The following is a 20969-nucleotide window of genomic DNA, read 5'->3' as shown; positions in this document are numbered from 1 at the left end:
TTCCCAGCTGTGTGACCATGGAAAAGTCAACCTAATTCCAATTTTGTTATCTGTATGATAGTAAAAATAGCAGTACCTGGCTTCAAAGGGTTATTATAAAGATTAGGGTAAAAGTAATATGTAAAGTGTCCGATATTTGGTAAGCTATCAAGAGGCATTATCAATTTTTATTACAATTTCAGTTTATCTTTGACGATTTTAAACTTTACAAGCTAAAATGAATTTTATGAGAACACTTCCCATGACCAAAAACCACTGGCTCCCCTATGGAATGAATAAACTTACGTGACAAAATATGAAGGCAGATAAATGTTTGCTTACAGTTTCATATTTTCTAAGTGATAGCACTATTGTCAGCATTTCCTTAATCACACAAATAAAACAGGTTCACAAAGGTGACTTCTTGGCCCAAGATCCCATAAACATTACGCATCAGAGCCAGAACTAGCACCCAAACTGTGGCCCTAAATCTAGGACTTTCTCTGTTTCTCCTCTCAATTATCCCAATGATCTAAAAAATAATTACTTAAGATATAGAATTGAGACAAATGGTTATACTCCTGGTTTTTAACTATCAAGGCCTCCAAGATAGTCTTCTATAAAACAATGATTCAGCAGGACTAATCCACACTAGTACATAAAATCAAAGTTAGAATATATGGAGATAAATTCTCAGTTTGAGGATGATGCAAAATGATGAAAGAGAATTCTGGTTTTTTTGGTTTGTTTTTATAAAACCTAGAAATTTTGGAGCTATGTAGTAAAGAGAAGTAGAAACAATGTCTTCAAGACTCCTGTCTCATTCCTACATTAAGATACCAGACAAACCTAAAAGTTGTAGCTACAGCAATATTCTTCATATCGTTTTAATACAAGCTTCAGTGAGAAATACTTTTTATACTACAAGCTAGGACATACGTATATATCTCTAACAAAAGTTTTACGCATGAAAACTACTCTCCTTATGTATGAATATACTTATGTTTTCTATTCTGCTTCATTTTTTAAAAAGTTGGTTGAACCCATTTAGTTCATTTCAAGACCCAAACAGTTGGGAAAACACTGATTCAAAGAGCTACAAAGGCTATTGGCATTATCATACTAAAACATGTTTTAAAGCACACCTAATCTTAGCAAAGGATAAAAAACCAGTGTCTGTTACACATTAGCAGGGTAGTGCTATGAAGAAGAGACTACAAGGACTGTATTTCACATATTTGCTCTCCTCAACCTCTTTAAAGGTGGGGGTGGGGGAATACTAAGAAAGAAAGGGAGAAAACTCTACGTGCCAATTTTAGAATTCTCTTTGCATTTGATACTATGTTAAATTATTGTGTAAATATATTAGCTATCCCCAAACTCTGGTTAACTTTTTTGCTCAGAAATAATATTTCAAAAATTTTAACAGGCTAGACACAATGGCTCACACCTATAATCCCAGCACTTTGGGAGGCAGAGGTGGGAGGATCACTTGAGGCCAGGAGTTCGAGACCAGCCTAAGCAGTGTGGCAAGACCTTGTTTCTACGAAAAAAAAAAAAAATTAAATAAATTCATATAAAAATTAGCCAGGCATGGTGGCACATACCTGTGGTCCCAGCCACTTGGGAGGCTGAGGCAGGAGGATCCCTTGAGTCCAGCACTTTGGGAGGCAGAGGTGGGAGGATCACTTGAGGCCAGGAGTTTGAGACCAGCCTAGGCAATGTGGCAAGACCTTGTCTCTATGAAAATAAATAAATAAAATAAATTTATAAAATAATTAGCCAGGCGTGGTAGCACATACCTGTGGTCCCAGCCACTTGGGAGGCTGAGGCAGAAGGATCCCTTCAGCCCAGGAGCTTGAGGCTGCAGTGAGCTGAGTGACTGTGCCACTGTACTCCACCCTGGGCAACACAGCAGAGACTCTGTCTCAAAAACAAAAAAAAATTAATTTGGTGACCAAATTACTGTGGTGACTTATGTCATTAAAATGTGTCCCTGCTTTCTAAGTTATTACAGTGTAGCCTTCTGACCAGCTCTGCTGTGTGGATACAGACAAAATCCCCAAAACTCAACAACTGTCCCCTGAAACCCAACGACTGTCTTGCATATATAAGCCACTGTCACAAAGGAAGAATATGGCTGAATTACCAAGAATTAAAACAAAAAAACTCCTCTCATGTACTTTATAATGAATGTAAGTGACTGCCCCAGCTAAGTTACCTCTAACAAAACTCTGAAGCAGTGAATTCCTCACGCGTGGGTATCTCTCTGTGCTGCTTATATTTTAATGTGTGCCTAGCACTTACCCCAAAGAGCAGGTACTTTCAGTTCTAGGGCAGGTGAGGGGTAGCAAGGAACTTGCTGCTGAACACAAACAAATTTTTCTATTAGTCTGAGAAAAACAATGTACCGCTTAAAAGCTAGATAAATAACCAGTCCAAAAAGAAATGTAACTTGAATTTGGACAATATTCATAAAAATTCACAGAAAAAAACTCAAGAAGAACAGACTTTATTTTTAACATAAAAGTTCTATTTTCTTGTGAGGCAGCAACAAGTGTTCAGGTACAGGGAATACATAAGTACAGCGTAACAATACCGATTACCATTGGAAATGCTGTTTTTTGAGAGAATTGTTAGAATAACAAAATGTTTTAAATTGCATTTTAAAAAGAGTTACACAGCTTCCACAGAGACAAAAAATGAAGAGTTAAAAAAATTCTATTCTTAAACAAGACTGTATAAACAAAATGCTGTTCAGGGCTGCTCTGCTCATCTTCAATTTGGTCAGAGTAGAACTTAAAGTGCAGAGTTAAGCATTCTTAGCTTTATTTTGCAAATTCAGCACTTCCACTCATCTGGTTTTGAGACATCAAAATTCCAAAGACTAAGGAATGAATCTTAAGTTTACAATAGTAAAGTAAATGCAGTAGTGGCAAATTTTCTTTTATTTTCCTTCACAAAAGAAAATCTTTATAACCCAGTCCTAGTCTTGGACATAGTGAAAGCTATAAATTCTGACTTTTTTTACACTTTCTTTCAGTGAAAGCCAACCACTGAAAGCAAAGAAAAAGGACTTTCATGTCGTCAAATATTCCACAGTTAGCAAGAGCACCTTCTAAAAGACTGATTTGGACTGTAGTCATAAGTATTAAGTATAAGAAATATAAAACAAATTGAATAATCTAGTTGAAAAATAATCTTGACATCCATGCTCACCACATGTAACCAAAGAGGCAAAACCGGTATTTTTAAAACACAGTTGCGTACAAAAGCCATGACAAGTAATAGACTCAGTCATGATCAGAAACAGTAAATTTATATTATTTTTATCATCACAAAGAAGAAATTGTTTAAAGATTTAAAAAAACCTAAGATTGACAAAGTGAATAACCAAATAGCTCCTTTCTCTGAAAGACACATGCTACCCATTTCTTTTAATGCAATGGAAATAAATTTTTATAAAATTAAAAAAATTTAAATTATATTCCCATTGAAGCTATTCTATTTACCTTCTGTACAGTTTTCTACAGAATAACAATAATTATGGAGTGTAACTTTAGAAACCAACATTATGCATTCTATTGAGAGTGTCACATTTCACTGGAAAGCTGGAGACCCATTTAAAAAAAAAATCAACCACCAGGGAACTAAGGGTTAAATAAAACAGCTGAATGAACCTATGGTTAATATTTTTTTCAAGACTGTGGTAAAGCTTACATGCTTAAAAATTAGCCCTTTGGCACTGGCAGTTAGAGTTGTTTTGTACCTTGTACCTTTTTTTCAAATCTCAAGCTCTATTTCTCCCAAACCCCAGGGATCTGTCTGGTTGCCATACAATTCATTTACCTGCAAATTCACATTCTCCTTACAACCAAACATTACACTAGAAGTTCTATGTATAAGACTGTAAATAATTCTGAAACTTGTTCTTCCATTCCAATTTTAAGTTACTTTAGATTAAGGACATATGAAACTCCACAGAAAGATATGAATTAGACAAATAGGCACAACAGAGCAAAAGGGAAAACCTCTACAGAGTGGCATTCTAGTTCTAAAATGCCATTGTGACTAGCAGGGATAGAGATGGAAGAGGAACGGAAGTGCAAGGCCAAGAACACAGATTTAACAGAATTCAAGTCATCCAAAAACCAAGAGTTCTTTTTAAATAACTTGTTTTTAACTTCCTCTACCCCCATTCTGATTTCAGTTTTACCTTTTCTTCTGAACTTCTGATACAGCAGATACTCAGTGGTGATACAGTCAAGTTATAATGCATAACAAAGAAGGCAAAATATCAAGGCTCTCAGTGAGAAAATGTAGACCCCAAATAACTGAGCTTTTCATGACTGAGAAGCCATAACGTACTAGTTCCAAATAAATTAGTTTTGGATTGAGAAAGTACCAAAGTTCATCAATCCCACCATCTAAAACCTGACGGATTTATTCAAATGTTGAATTTATCCAATTTACCTAAATGCATCTCGAATTTAAACTCAACAGGGATTATTTTAAATTGCTTAGATGTTTTAAAGGTACATGAGTATAAGAAGTCCTTTCCAAAGATTTATTGCTACCACTAGGTTTTCCTTGATAGAATATGTCTGGGTAAGCTGACATATTAACCTTCTAAACTGCATCCTCTTTATAAGGATTTAAAAACTTTTTTCTACCTTATAATATGTATAGGAACAGTAAATTATTGCATCATAAAGTAGTATATGAAGATATGAAAAGGATGCTTTTATTCAATACTGTTTGCTGAAACTCACTTTTAAAAAAAGAGCTGCTCCTGGATGGGCGTGGTGGCTCACACCTGTAATCCCAGCACTTTGGGAGGCCAAGACGAGCAGATCACCTGAGGCCAGGAGTTCAAGAACAGCCTGACCAACATGGTGAAACCCCATATATACTAAAAATACAAAATTAGCTGGGTGTGGTGGTGCATGCCTGTAATCCCAGCTACTTGGGAGGCTGAGGCAGGAGAACTGCTTGAACCTGGGAGACAGAGGTCGCAGTGAGCCGAGATTGCGCCATTGCACTCCAGCCTGGGCAACAAGAGTGAAACTCCGTCTCAAAAAAAAAAAAAAAAAAAAGCTGCTCCTTAATCTCACTACCACATACCCAGAAATCACATACTGATGTCATGTGATACTGGCAGTGATTTATATTAGGATGAGCCCTAATCCAAAACTGTATGGAGTTTTCAAAGGTGCTTATCGTTCATACTCAAGTTCTTCTTGTGTATTTTCCCCACTATGTGAAGCGTTAGGGGGGTAAATTAGCAAAATCTGTAGGCAACAAATCTCAGGGCCAACCACCACCACAAAGAAAAATGTCAGTCACAGGATTCTGCGGCTACAGTTTGGATCACTATCCACTGGATTACACTCCTGGCAAACTACTAGCCCAACCAAATCCACAAGACAACAACATCACAAGGGCAAAGGAGGAAATCCATGCACAGCCATTTCAGGATCTCTTTGGGGCTATGATACAGTGATGATTAAAGGTAGAATGACACCTGTGGTAAAGGAGGGAGAGCGTGTGATATATATATATATCACAGAAAACCAAAGGGGCTCCTTACTCTTAGCTAGCAATCAACGCTGGATAGCTTCCTTTTGGCTCACTGACTTTTAAATCAAGTTCCAATATGGGTGAGAACATATTAAAGCACTTGTCTTCAGACTACAACTTTTCTGACCACATGGTGAAATGTGTACAGGAGTAGTGAAGAAAACAGCAGTTATACAAATATTTCACCCAAAGCACAAACTTTTGACATCAAAAACATAAATCACATAATGTACGAATATTGCTTTTTAATCTCTTTTTATATATACTTGTTCAATGCATTTACCTATCAATCCTTGTTTGGGAGAAGAACATAGTCATGAGATTAAGATTGCTGGGAAAACGTCAACAATCCCTTTGGTCCCAAAGCTGAAAACAGCTGAGAAAAGCACACATCTAGAAAGGGAACAAGAAACAGAGGCCACCAAAGAATCTTTTGAATATCCTGTTTGCTACGTTTCAGAAAATGTAACATTGGTATATTATAAAATAGTCATTTTCATAGAAAAGATGGTTCTTGCAGCATCAGTCACATCTCCCTTTAGGAATCATGTTGGCAAGGATCAGGGGTGTGTGTGTGTGTGTGTGTGTGTGTGTGTGTGTGTGTGTGTGTGTTTTAAAGAAGTCTAATTCGAAAACAAAAACGTGATATTGTCTCTCCAAAGGTAAAGAATGAGACCTTTCTTGTTTCAATCAGTGCTTTGATAAAAAGCAGGCTAAGCACTGAGGGTTGGCGTTCACAAGTGGGGCAGAGCCGTCACGGGGGATCCTTTCTTCCAGAAGCCTCGCCGTCACATGTCACTGGAAAGCTGGAGCACATCACAGCCGACCAGAAGCGCACGATGCCATCAGAATCCAGTGATCTGAGGAGGTTCCCAATTTCCCAGAACAACAGCCACGTTGCACTGTGACCTATCCTTCAGCTTCCTCAATTGGTTCTGGTGGTGGGAGTAGAGAAGCTGATGGCATGACTGTACTTGTTCCTCGAGAGACTCGGTCTTGCTCTGTGTTTGTAGACAGGGAGGCCACAGCAATAGGCTGCAGCAGAGTGGTTGTCATGCCAGTGGTGACTGTCAGGCTGTGGCCAGAGCCCTTGAGTGTAAGATCCGGGGTAGGAAGGAGTGGCTTGAGGATGCTGACGAGGCAGAAAGCAGATCCACTTTTAGGAATGAAATTCACCTTGTTTTTGTCAGGACAATAAAAGGCTGGGATTTCATGAAGCTGTTTTGGCCTAGACATAGAACAGACAACCCAATGCTTTTAAGTCACTGAACTTAAAAAATAAAAAAAAAAAAAAGCTTGGAAACAAGCTCTTTTATTTTTTAAAAACAGTTAACTTACATCACAGAAAAGGAATATAAAACTCAAGCTCTGTCCCCCACCTTCAAACATAAAGGACCAAAGTGCTATCTGACATATGATTCAACATATGTATCTTAGAATGCAAGAAGCCCCCATCATCATTGCTGCTTTCAGTTCCCTTGACAGCCCCATTACCATGCAGGTGGCTCAGCCCGATGAGCACTGCATGTCAATGATGAGCTAAGACGGTCAAGGGAATAATGAATTTCCTATAGCAAAAGAAAATCTAGATGTTTAAAGACATGTATGCCTTTATGTATGGTATATTCCACTGCCATGATTTTTCCGAGGTCTATAGTATACTGGAAGGAGACAGCAAGGAAATTAAAGATATACAATGTCCGTCTTTTGCTAAGTTCCACCACTGCATGACTAAAACTATGGTAGGCCTGGCTTTTCTCTTCAAGTGCTTGTAAAAATCTCTTTGATGGAAACAATTCTTTGAGTTAACCCTGATAGTTTTCTGAGCAATATAATGTAAATGTGAAATCAAAATGAAAACTCCTTTGCTTTGAAAGCTTTTTATTAAAGCCAAATCCTTCCCTTTTCCTAGGTCCTCCTGAAAATTAACCCAAATTGTTGAAAAAGATATTGGTATTAATGGTATTTCATGAAAATTAAAAGTATAAAAAAACTACATTGTTAAAGCAACACAGAAATGCCACAGAACTAAGGTGGGAGAACCTAAATAAATCAAGACTTAGGTTGATTCTCATCTCTTCCAATGACAATAAAAATCTAAATCAGCCAGCCATGGTGGTTCACACCTGTAATTTCAGCACTTTGGGAGTCTGAGCGGGGAGGCTTACTTGAACCCAGGAGTTCCAGACCAGCCTGGGCAACATAGTGAGACCTCGTCTTTATAAAAACCTTAAAAAAAAAAATAATCTAGTCTGACGGCATGCACCTGTAGTCCCTGCTACCTGGGAGGCTGAGGTGGGAGGATAGCTTGGCCCTGGGAGGTGGAGGTTGTACTGAGCCATAATCGGGCCACTGCACTCCAGCCTGGACAGCAGAGCAAGACCCTGTCTCACACACACACAAAAAATCTAAATCAGTTCAATAAAAATGCAAGTGTTCACTAAATTCTGAGGATACAAAGTTGAAACAATCCACAAGGAGGAGGTGGACTAAATTTATAGTTCTTGTGGGGTGAGGAGTGATGGGGACAGAGCTGTGTTTCAACATAACTAGCTTCCTTTATAATCTTGTGTATATGATGCATTTAAAACATTATTCAGAGAAGGGATCCACAAGCTTTACCACACAGACTGCCAAAGCTGTCCACAGCACAGAAGAGGTTAAGACCGCCACAAGAGAATCTAACAGGCATGATTACAGAGGTTTATAAAAAGGTTTACAGGTAGCACAAGGGGGTGGATAACCTGTGGCCTGTAGGAAGAGGGAGGGTTTGGTAGTAACCCTCTGAGCTGGGTTTTGAAGAATGAGTAAACAGCGGATGGGGAGTGGACACCAAAAAGATGTGTGTTCCAAGTAGACAATGATTAGGTGGGCAGATTTTTATTAACAGTGAACACTATGGAGAGCTTTGGCAAATATAACAATTAAGAACAAAGAAAAATACATCATGTAGGTTATGTTCAACTTGGGCACTATTCTTTGTAGAATAGTTGAGTACTTTTAGTGCCACAAGTATATTTGGATATATTACTGATAAGAACAACATACACCCTTCTATTTTTATCATCTGAGAGCATGATTTTCAATACACTGAACTTGAGGAAGTTGAGGTTATGTTTCCATAATTAAATAATGCCTTAAATTTTCCTTTGAAGACAGAATTACCGAAGTTAACTTTCATTCTTGTAGAATGAAAAACTTCTTGTAGAAAATGAAAAGGCTAATTTTAACAGTTCCATCCAAATGAGGGCTAGATTTTTAATTATTTGTTTGAGGTTATCTTCTTAAAAATGACTTAAGAAGGCCAGGCGCAGTGGCTCACGCTTGTAATCCCAGCACTTTGGGAGGCCAAGGCGAGCGGATCATGAGGTCAGGAGATCGAGACCATCCTGGCTAACACGTTGAAACCCTGTCTCTACTAAAAGATACAAAAAATTAGCCAAGCATGGTGGCGGATGCCTGTAGTCCCAGCTATTTGGGAGGCTGAGGCAGGAGAATGGCGCGAACCCGGGAGGTGGAGCTTGCAGTGAGCCAAGATCACACCACTGCACTCCAGCCTGGGCGACAGAGTGAGACTCTGTCTCAAAAAAAAAAAAAAAAAAAGACTTAAGACTCGTGGCTGCTAATAGGTCTCTGGGATGAAACTTCACATTTCTGAAGTACAAACTTCCTGATTTAGATAAAGTTTTTGATCTGGAATTGTTTTTTTAATGACAGGAATCTAAAAACCATGTAACTTCCTTGCTGCTTTCATGAAAACAGACTTACGATATACCTCACACAAAATAATGTAAACAGTAATAACTTGTCTAACTGATCAGATCGAGAAACAGAACATTAACACCAATATAACATAAAGCACCAAAAAAACTCTCCTTGTGCCTTCTTCTTCCTGTCATTACCCCAGCCCACCAAGAAGAATCACTTTCCTAACCTCTGTGGCTTCTAAGAGTGCATTACCCAAGAAAAACATGACCCACCACAGGATATGTGACCTACACATATGCTAGGAGAAGCTGCAAATACTAACGTTACTTCAAAGCACTCTTCAACTTACAAACCATACATAGAAAGAAAAAAACTCACGCTGTTTTTAAAATTTTATTTTTTCTTAAGCAGTTATTCTAAAAGGATTGTGTCTCAAAGTAGATATAACTTAAAAATGCCTCTATATTGCAAAGAAGCCATAATGTGTAAGAATCTAAGGACTTCATTAGCTGGGATCAGGAAAGAGTATATTCAACTTCATTAAAAAGGACTTACTAAGTGCAGATGACATGGCTATGGTATGTGCTGTTATCAAAAAGATTATAGAGACGGAAGTACAAAATCTGGTTTTGTCCTTTTTGGGCCCAAATCCAACCACCTATTTTCTTTCAGGTAAACAGACACATTTCTAGAAATCAGAGATCACTCCTCACCCCATCCCGACCCCCCAGTTCAGGTCAGAGTTAGTACTTTAAAGCAAAAGTAAGACTTAGTGAGAAAAGTATTCTTAAAAGAATGGCTAAAGCTAAAATGTTACATTGGGACCAACAATCTACCCTTGCTTTCATTGTGGTGTGCACGGTGGTTATTGTTCTAATTTTGACATATCTGGGACAAAAAGACACTAATTTTTTTAAAAGACTTTGAGTAACTTATTTTATTGACAAAAGGTTAAAATTACTTCTTAGATATCCACACTTAGTTACGACTGCTAATTTGTCTTTGGAACGTGATTAAAATATTAATAGTGTTACACAGTCTTTCTACCAGTAAAACGTATAATAAACATTACATTAAAAAAAAAAAAGAATAGGTTTACCTTCTACTAACAGATCAATGTGCCATAAAACATGTAACATGACTAGGCACGGTGGCTCATGCCTGTAATCCCAGCACTTTGGGAGGCAGAGGTGGTAGATCCACCTGAGGTCAGGAGTTCGAGACTAGCCTGGCCAATATGGTAAAACCCCATTTCTACTAAAAATACAAAACTTAGCCAGGCATGGTTGTGGGTGTCTGTAATCCCAGCTACTTGGGAGGCTGAGACAGGAGAATTGCTTGAACCTGGGTGGCAGAGGTTGCAGTGAGCCAAGATCATGCCATTGCACTCCAGCCTGGGTGACAAGAGTGAAACTCCATCTCAAGAAAAAAAATAAAAACAAAAACAAAAACAAAAAACCCAACCATGTAATATGTTAGGGTTTATCTTATGTTTGATCTATCTACAGACACACACACACACCTCTCTGGTCTTTTCTTCTCTCCCTTTAAAGATAAATAATGTAGTAGTACATAGCTCAGACACTGAGTCCTCAGAAACTTTCCAAATGCAATAGTCTAAGGCAGGTACCACAGGACACCACCCAACAAATATTTAAAGTCATTTCTTAAAAACAATCAAAATGCTTTGGAGCCAATCAACCAAATCTCTACATTTAGCACTTAGGCAAATCCTAAGGGCCAATGAGTAAATCAAAGAGCTCAACTCAGGCCGGATGCAGTGGCTCATGCCTATAGTCCCAGCATTTTAGGAGGCCAAGGCAGGTGGATCACTTGAGCCCAGGAGTTCAAGACCAGCCTGGGCACATGCCAAAACCCCATCTCTACAAAAACTAGCTGGGTGTGGTGGCATGCCTGTGGTCTCAGCTAACTGGGAGGCTGAGGTGAGAGAATTGCCTGAGCCCGGGGAGGTCAAGGCTGCAGTGAACTGTTGACTCCAATACTGCACTCCAGCCTGGGTGACAGAGTGAGAACCTGTCTCAGCAGGGCTGGCAGTGGAGGGGGGCAGGCACAACTCCAAAAAAGTACATTTGGGCTAACAGATTTTAACCTAATAGAATGAGCCCATTTCTGCTTTCCAGTTCCAAAATAGTGGCAAAGAAACACATGGTTCCACTCCCTGCCACAGAAAACCAAAAACAAATACGTATTACTGAGATGATTACTAGCAATATCCTAGAATTCAAATATGAAGAGACAGTTCCTGGGGCCACAGAGAAGTGAAAAAACTGAGAATCAGACTTCCACATCTGTGACAACCCTACCCTTATTCTGCCCAGCACAATTCATGGCTTCTACACTAGAAAAACTGAGACTGGGTTAGACAACCAGCTTCCCCACAATCCTGGGTTCCCTGACAAGACACTGCCTTAACCCATGGGAAGCATGGTAAATACATGAAAGGAAAAATATCCCCAAGGAAAGGCGAAGACAAAGAGGGGAGGCAGAAATACCATCCCCAGCCCTGGAAACTCTGTTGTGGAATTCGGTGAAAGGAGATGCCACATCACAGTGGTTCAGCAGCACCACACAGGTCCCTTCGGCAGGAACTCCGACCTAGCCTTCCCACGCTGCTGAGACCTTTGGGACCTCCCCCGTTCAGGAGCAGCAGCCAAACCTATATACCCCTAAATTCAACATGTAAACATGACTGGATACATGTTCACAAATGACAGCCACAGAAGACATTCTGCAAACAACTAAAGAAATTTGAGTAACAAGTGGATATTAGCTGATATTAAGCATTACTGTCAACTTTCTAAGATAATCGTACTGTGGTTATATAGTAGTACTGTGGTTACTTTTAGCAAATACTGCAAAATGTTAGCTATTATCTAATCTGAGTTGTAGATATATGAGTGATCACTATACTATTCTTTCAGCTTACTTAAAAATGCTGATAATAGGCTGGGCACAGTGGCTCATGCCTGCAATCCCAGCACTTCAGGAGGCTGAGGCAGGAGGATTGCTTGTGCCCAGGAGTTTGGGACCAGCCTGGACAACACAGTGAGACCCTGTCTCTCCAAACTTTAAAATATTAGCCAGGCTAGGCCAGGCGCAGTGGCTCATGCCTGTAATCCCAGCACTTTGGTAGGCCGAGGCAGGTGGATCACGAAGTCAGGAGATTGAGACCATCCTGGCTAACGCGGTGAAACCCCATCCCTACTAAAAATACAAAAAATTAGCCGGGCGTGGTGGTAGGCGCCTGTAGTCCCTGCTACTCAGGAGGCTGAGGCAGGAGAATGGCATGAACCCAGGAGGCAGAGATTGCAGTGAGCTGAGATTGTGCCACTGCACTCCAGCCTGGGTGTCAGAGTGAAACTCTGTCTCAAAAAAAAAAAAAAAAAATTAGCCAGGCTAGTGGTGTGCATCTGTATTCCCAGCTACTTGGGAGGTTGAGGTGGGAAGATAACTTGAGCTAAGGAGGTAGAGGTTGCAGTGTGACCTGTGACTGCATCAGTGCAGTCCAGCCTAGATGACAGAGTGAGATCCTATCTCAAAAAAAAAAGCTCATAATAGTTTTTTTGTGGGGATGGTGGAAGGGATACTTACGAGCATTCCTCAAAGACTTTGACCCTTTCACAGCCCTCAGGAGGTTCCCTTTTGAACATATAACTGTTGTTAGGTTTTGGTGAGGTTGCATATTTGGGCAAAGGAGAATTGTTCCCATTCTCTGCAAGAAATGACACATTAGATTACTACATAAATGTATAGTCATACTATATTTAATTGTTCTTGGACTAGCCCACCATGAACTACTTGAGGGCAGGAACAGTGCTTTATTAATCAAGGAGATAATTAATGTTTGTTAAATAAATGCACACACAAATAAAATATTTATTTCACTTCCACTTACAATTACCATAGCCTAGGCCTGTATCACATAATCCTCAGTAGTGAACACTGATCTAGCTGGCTGCCTTATTTCTATTCTTTACAAAACAAATGCACTCAAACACTACTTCCATTTTTCCCAGTACAAATATCTGAAATGGTTCTTCATTGGTTGCTGATGACTAATTCTTGGCCTGTGCTTCAAAATTTCTCAGTTTGATTTCTCTGCTCCGCTGGTTACAATCTTTGCTCCAGGTAGTGAGAGCTACCGGATGCCAAACATTTTTTTTGCCTATGAATTTCCCCTTACCTAAAAGGAGTAAGTTCTGTTTATTTTCCAAAAGGTCCTTCAAAGTCTGGCTCTGACTCAAGTTTTTTGAAATCTTTCTAAATTAACCCTATCAGGAGGAACATTTCTTTACTCTGATATTCTTGTTTAGTGCTGATATCCTCAATTTATATTAACTTAAAAATTTTAATATGTTAAATATCTGTTCTAAATTTTCAGTCTGTACCAGCTAAGCTACAAACTCCTTGCTGGCAGCAGCACTACAGCCCAGTTTTCCTACAAAAGAAATTCACAGAGGCCAACCAGCTACTAAAATCAAATGGATCAGGACACAACATTTATTGAGTTTATTTATTTATAGACTTTCTACATGTTATTGACGTAGAAGTAGAAAGTATGGGAAATCAAGGGCCAGATTTTATCTGACCCGTGTTTTATCAGACCTAGAAGCTAGCAATAAAAGTCCAAAGAGTAACAGTTTACAACTTCCCACAGTTTAAAGTAACTTCTTCAGTGAATCGTCTGTCTTCTGCGCTTGTCACAGTTTTAATGTCTTAGGTGATGAGTAGTAGTAGCAGCCAGTCCTAACAGCAGGGCATTTTAGGACATTCAACACACTGTATGGAGGAGGTTCTAAATAAATGACTACTGAACTGAGCTTTAGAATTTATAAATAAATGTCATTATTATTGCTTTCAAGTACACAACGTAACCAGGATTAGGCTAAGAAAATACTGTCCTGACATAGATGCAAGGCTAATATTTGTTTTAAAAGGCAAGAATATTTGTAATTAACATTCAAACTGCTTCTATTTCCAAGTAACTTCTAAGGTATTTTAAGGTTATTTTTAAAAGTACCCTCCAACGTTTTACATCAGGCTTGCTTTAAACACTCATCCTGCATTGATATAAATCTGTTTAATCCTTGTTTAAAATGTCACAAGTACAGATCCTAAAAAACACTAACTTGAAGGCTTTGTATTGATTTAAAAAGCATTAAGGTAATAAAATCATGACTATCAGGTGACAGAGACCAAAGTGCTTTTCAGAGCAAGTGCTCATCTCATTTATTCCAAAAAGAATGTTTCTCACCAATAAGGAAGTTGTATTAACAAGTGCAAAAAAAGAGCTACAAACTAACAAAAGCTCATAAACTTGCCCAACTAGACCATCAACTGAGCATGACAGTCAAACCTGTTTACACTCCAAATTGAAAACCTAGGCTTTGAACACATTAACTGAGTAGCCTCGAGTGTGTGTGTTCTGCTAGAAAATGAATAGAATGAATGATACAAGAGGAGGTATTCCATTATCATCTAGTAGCACATTCCTCCAGCACTGTACCTTTATCTCTGGGATCAACAAGCAGGTCATCCGCTGAGCAAGGACTCTCCTCGCTACCTTCATTGGAAATGGTGAGGAACGATGTTGGGGACACGGACTGGGAACGGCTGCTGTTGTTGCTTCCCCTGTCTGCCCCACCAGGCGTCTGTGTGTCAATGCTGCGCGTGCTGCTACTTCTCTGTACAAGGGGGGGTGGAGCACGATGGCCATCTGGAATATCTTGCGGCTGTTACAAAATTGTAAAAACATAGGTATATTTATAATTAATTTCGAATCACCAGCAATGAACCCAATGTCAACCTTCCCATATAGTGCCAGAGACTCACAAATCAGAAATCCCTTCCTACTTATTAGGATTTCATGTTGCACGTTAGTGACATCCCTGTCTAATCTGACCCCCACACTGAGAGTCTTCGGTGAAGACTTTGTATTCCCAAGGCCAGGCATACAGCAGGTGGCCAATGCTTGCTGAATAAATGAATTGTACTGAATCACTTATCGTGTGCTAAGGGTTATTTTAAAAATTATAAATGAGGGCCATGAAATCTAGGTGTAACACTAGGTTCCACATTAGAGGAAAAAGGTTATTCATCATGTGAACCAGGAACACTGATGCCACGCCCTGAAAGGATTTTTTCAAGTCAACCTTCCTAAATGGGGGAAAGGTTAATCACAGAAGTGCTGTTGATGGGGAGAAAATCAAGTACACACACAGAGGAAAGCCTGTGTGGATCACTTAGCAAGGAAACCAACTCCCTGCACGTCTTTGATTCATTTACCTTTATTACATCAGGGAATCTGTACCCCATCAAGCAGGATGGAGGAGAGGGTGTGGGGAGCTGTATTTTCTCTAAGCTAAACCAACCTTTTATCTTAAGGGAGAGGATCTTAAGCATCAATACAATACTCAATTCCTCCTTCACTAAAGAATAGAGAGACGGTTAGATAAATAAATATACTCTGTGGCATGGTTTTTAAACCAAAACAGTTAATTTTTCTGTTTTACATAGCAACTATTCTCATGTGTATTCTAGTCAGTAAAGAGAATAGGCAGAATTTTTTTTTTTTTCGATCTCAGCTCACTGCAACCTTCACCTCCCGGGTTCAAGCGATTCTCCCTGCTTCCCAAGTAGCTGGGATTACAGGCACGCACCACCATGCCCAGCTTATTTTTGTATTCTTTTAGTAGAGACGGGGTTTCACCATGTTGGCCAGATGGGTCTTGAACTCCTGACCTCAGGTGATCCGCCCACCTTGGCCTCCCAAAGTGTTGGGATTACAGGTGTGAGCCACTGTGCACAGCCAGATAATTTCTAAATGTACTTTATGATGACATAGCCTAGCATGTCAACCAAAACCAAATAGTCACTGACATTCAAAAAAGGAGCAGACAGATTCATGCTTAGAAGGTATTCAATGTCATGTAAACTTCTGCCCCCCATAATTAGTAAGCTAAACTTTTGTTAACTGGAGTTACAGCAAATAAGAAGTATATCACCTAATGGTTTCTAAATACAGACAAACAAAAAATAGTTTCTGTTCAGTAATCCAAATTCAAGTCAGATCAGTTGCCTCTATGACATGCAACAAAATGAAAACTTTTCATTCACTCACCCAGGTCAAAGATTTTTCAAAAGAGATAAATTTTTGCTCTCTCAATGAGAAGGAAGAAACCCAAGTAAATATGGAAACCCAAACTGTGCATTTTTAATAATTATAAGAGTTCAAGAATGATTTTAAGATACAAGATCACTTACTATAAGTTGCTCTTCCTTTTCCCCAGTCTCTTTAATTATTATTTCAATCTCCTGATTCAATCCTTCCACGCTATTCCGGAACCGGGAGCCTGTTGATTTGGTGATGGGAATTACAGGAATAAGTGCACTCTTTGGAACAGGAGCCTTAAGAAAATGGGATGGAGAAGAGAGGCTTAACATTACCTTTTAATTTTCTAGGCTGAAGCGTAATTCCAACAGACATAAGTAACTCAAAAATAAATCAAAGTTTACAGGCCTCACAAAAAGTGTGAGTGACCAAACCTGCTCCTTAGCATGTATGAAATATAATTTAAAACCCAAATCCCACACAATGAAGGTAGGATTTTGAACATTTATTCACATCTGTGAACGACTGCAAAGGGAACAGGGATAAATAAATATAGTAAAAGAATGTCAACCTCAGAAATTCTTTTACGACTGTAACAGAGCTCAGATTTCAGAATATAACTTTAAACTCTCCTAGTGCCACAATGATACAGTTTGGATGTCTCACCCAAATCATGGGGGTGGATCTCTCATGAATGGTTTAGCACAGTCCCTCTTAGTACTGTGAGTTCTTACGAAATCTGGTTGTTTAAAGGTGTGTAGCGCCTCCCACTTCTCTCTCTTGCTCCTGCTTGGCCATGTGACCTGTGTCTTTCCCCCTTTGCCTTCCACCATGATTTAAGTTTCCTGAGGCCTCCCCGGACACCAAGTAAATGCCAGCGTCATGCTTCCTGTACAGCCTGCAGAACTGTTAGTCAATTAAGCCTCTTTTTTTTTTTTTTTTTTTGAGACGAATCTCACTCTGTCACCCAGGTTGGAGCACAGTGATGTGATCTCGGCTCACTGCAACCTCTACCTCCCATGTTCAAGCGACTCTTCTGCCTCAGCCTCCTGAGTAGCTGGGACTACAGGCACCCGCCACCACACCTGGCTAATTTTTTTGGTATTTTTAGTAGAGACGGGGTTTCACCATATTGGCCAGGCTGGTCTCAAACTCCTGACCTTGTGATCCGCCCATGTCAGCCTCCCAAAGTGCTGGGATTACAGGTGTGAGCCACCATGCACAGCCCCTGTTTTCTTTATAAATTACCCAGTCTCAGGTATTTACAGCAACATGAGAACAGATTAATCTATATAATTATTTATATTCTGGGGGGGGTTTATTATTGTTTTTGTTTCTTCTTAAAAAAAATAAGATACATGTGCAGAACATGCAGGTTTGTTACAAAGGTACACGTGTGCCATAGTGGTTTGCTGCACCTATTGACCAGTCCTCTAAGTTCCCTCTCTTCACCTCCCACCTCAAACAGGCCCTGGTGTGTGTTCCCCTCTATGTGCCCATGTGTTCTCATTGTTCAACTCCCACTTATGAGTGAGAACATGCGGTGTTCAGTTTTCTGTTCTTGTGTTAGTTTGCTAAGGATGATGGCTTCCAGCTTCATCCATGTCCTTGCAAAGGACATGATCTCATTCCTTTTTATGGCTGCATAGTATTCCATGAAGTATATGTACCACATTTTCTTTATCTGGTCTATCATTGATGGCATTTCAGTTGGTTCCATGTCTTTGCTATTGTAAACAGTGCTGCAATAAACACATATGTGCATGTGTCTTTATAGTAGAATGATTTATAACCCTTTGGGTATATATTCAGTAATGGGATTGCTGGGTCAAATGGTATTTCTGGTTCTAGATCCTTGAGGAATTGCCATACTGTCTTCCATAATCGTTGAACTAATTTACACTCCCACCAACAGTGTAAAAGCATTCCTATTTCTCCACAGCCTCACCAGCATCTATTGTTTTCTGACTTATTTTAATAATTGCCATTCTGACTGGCGTGAGATGGTATCACATTGTGGTTTTCATTTGCATTTCTCTGATGATCAGTGATGTTGAGTTTTTCATGTTTTTTTTTTTTTACATGTTTGTTGGCCGTGTAAATGTCTTCTTTTAAGAAGAGTCTGTTCATATCCTTTGTCCATTTTTTGATGGGGTTGCTTTTTTCTTGTAAATTTGTTTAAGTTCCTTGTAAATTCTGGATATTAAACCTCTGTCAGATGGGTAGATTGCAAAAGTTTTCTCCCATTCTGTAGGTTGCCTGTTCACTCTGATGATAGTTTCTTTTGCTGAGCAGAAGCTCTTTAGCTTAATTAGATCCCATTTGTCAATTTTGGCTTTTGTTGCAATTGCTTTTGGTGTTTTTGTCATGAAGTCTTTGCCCATGCCTGTGTCCTGAATGGTATTGCCTAGGTTTTCTTCTAGGGTTTTTATGCTTTTGGGTTTTACATTTAAGTCTTTAATCCATCTTAATTTTTGTATAAGGTATAAGGAAGAGGTCCAGTTTCAGTTTTCTGCATATGGCTAGCCAGTTTTCCTAGCACCATTTACTGAATAGGAGATCCTTTCCTCATTGCTTGTTTTTGTCAGGTTTGTCAAGGATCAGATGGTTGTAGATGTGTGGTGTTATTTCTAAGGTCTCTGTCCTGCTCCGTTGGTCTATATGTCTGCTTTGGTACCAGTACCATGCTGTTTTGGTTACTGTAGCCTTATAGTATAGTTTGAAGTCAGGTAGCATGATGCCTCCAGCTTTGTACTTTTTGCTTAGGATTGTCTTGGCTATATACAGGGTCTTCTTTGATTCCATATGAAATTTAAAATAGTTTTTCTAATTCTGTAAAGAATGTCAATGGTAGTTTGATGGGAATAGCATTGAATCTATAAATTACTTTGGGCAGTATGGCCATTTTCACAATATGACTTATTTATTTAACAGAACCACTTCCAAAATCTATGTAGAGATTTTTAAATTAAAAATGTTTTTATTGTCACAGTATTACTTTTGGAAAGAACTATCTGGTTACATAATTACAGGATATTACTTGTTTCCTGACAAGATATTCAAAATAAAATATGAAACAAGCATTAACAGAGGTATCCGCCAAAGCTAGTAACATCAGTGTGCCAGATAAACATCTTGCAGATTCTTCTGCTGTCTAGCAAAGAAATGTGATTAACCTATCCTTCATTTAGGAAAGTTTCTTTGGAAAACCTCTTTCAGGAAGAGGTGGGCAAGAAGACAAAGGTAACAGACAAAGACAAAGGAAGACAAAGGTAACACTGATTAGAAATGATTCTAATCAATGACCATCAGTTTTATTCCCTGATAATCTTGCTGTCTGATACAGAACTTAGTGTTAAATCTCTATTTCTCCTTTTATTCCTGCTCCCCTTCAGAACTGGAAAAAAAAAAAAAAAAGAAAAAGCATAATAAATACAACAAGAATCCTTGGCAAACACAAGAAATCTGTGATTAAAAAAGGCCAAGGGGAAGCTCCACGCAGAAGTGCTGAGAGAGGATGTCTCCACTGCTCAGTTAGTGTTGGGTCCTCATATGTAACACAGGACACAGAAACCTACCTCATGGCTTTAAAGATGAAATGACAGGAAACCTGGTATGGTGCCTGGCGTCTAAAGCATGAATGCTCAGAAAACAGTAGCTGCAATTTTTATTTTGTATTTTCCCTATTATGTATTTTATTCTTAAAATAATTATCTTTTCACATTTTTTTCAAGTGTCACTTATTTTCTTTCACATATAGTGTCTCCTAATTTTTCCCTTTTTATAAGTCCCTCTGTTCCCACATTCCCCACAGCCTCAAGCTTCTGTATTACTTATTCCCTTTACTTCCATCTCTTCTTTCTGATCCCTTTTCCATTCTCAGCATCCACTACCAAAGGAAAGAAAATTTTAAGTTTGGGTGTTCTATAAGTGTTTTATAGAGAAAATTTATATAATTTTTAAAAATTCAACTTATATTTTTGAGCCACTCTCCATAGCTCAGATCTTTGGTGCACAGATATACAATTGTCAAAACCTATTTTTTTTTTTTTTTTTTTTTTTGAGATGGAGTCTCGGTCTGTCTCCTAGGCTGGAGTGCAGTGGTGCAATCTCAGCTCACTGCAACCACAGCCTCCCGGGTTCAAGTGATTCTTGTGCCTCAGCCTCCCGAGTAGCTGGGATTACAGGCACCCGCGACAACGCCCAGCTAAATTTTTGTATATTTAGTAGAGATGATGAGGTTTCGCAACGTTGGCCTGGCTGGTCTCAAATTCCTGACCTCAGGTGATCCACCACCTGGACCTCCCAAAGTGCTGGGATTACAGGCGTGAGCCACTGTGTCCAGCCTCAAAACTATTTTTTTGAGGAAGATCTTAGCCATATCCATAGATCTATTCTCTTAGTCTAGTTCATTTGATGTGAACACTTGTCCTGGTTAGACCCTTTCAGCTTTCATAAGCGGTGACAACTCTATATACAGTTTAGTGGGTGGCTAAAGCACAATCAATGTCATAAATCAAGTACTGGTCAGACAATAAAACTTTAAGTCACTAACACTCCATAGGTATAA

At 39.1% G+C, this 20969-nt stretch overlaps 1 protein-coding gene across 1 annotated transcript in view; it reads right to left on the bottom strand.

Moving 5' to 3' along the window:
• Positions 1-2475: 2475 nt before the first annotated feature.
• Positions 2476-20969, bottom strand: part of FAM117B (family with sequence similarity 117 member B) — a 134789-nt gene continuing 116295 nt past the window's right edge. The window contains exons 5-8 of the mRNA NM_173511.4: positions 16552-16695; positions 14795-15020; positions 12880-13000; positions 2476-6787 (exon numbers count right to left, since the gene is read on the bottom strand). Of these exons, the coding sequence (NP_775782.2) occupies positions 6469-6787; positions 12880-13000; positions 14795-15020; positions 16552-16695 (810 nt within the window). The 3' untranslated portion in view covers positions 2476-6468. The remainder of the gene's footprint in view (positions 6788-12879; positions 13001-14794; positions 15021-16551; positions 16696-20969) is intronic.

Source organism: Homo sapiens, chromosome 2 (assembly GCF_000001405.40).
Source record: "Homo sapiens chromosome 2, GRCh38.p14 Primary Assembly".
NCBI lineage: Eukaryota > Metazoa > Chordata > Mammalia > Primates > Hominidae > Homo > Homo sapiens.
This window is presented reverse-complemented; position numbering and strand designations above follow the sequence as displayed.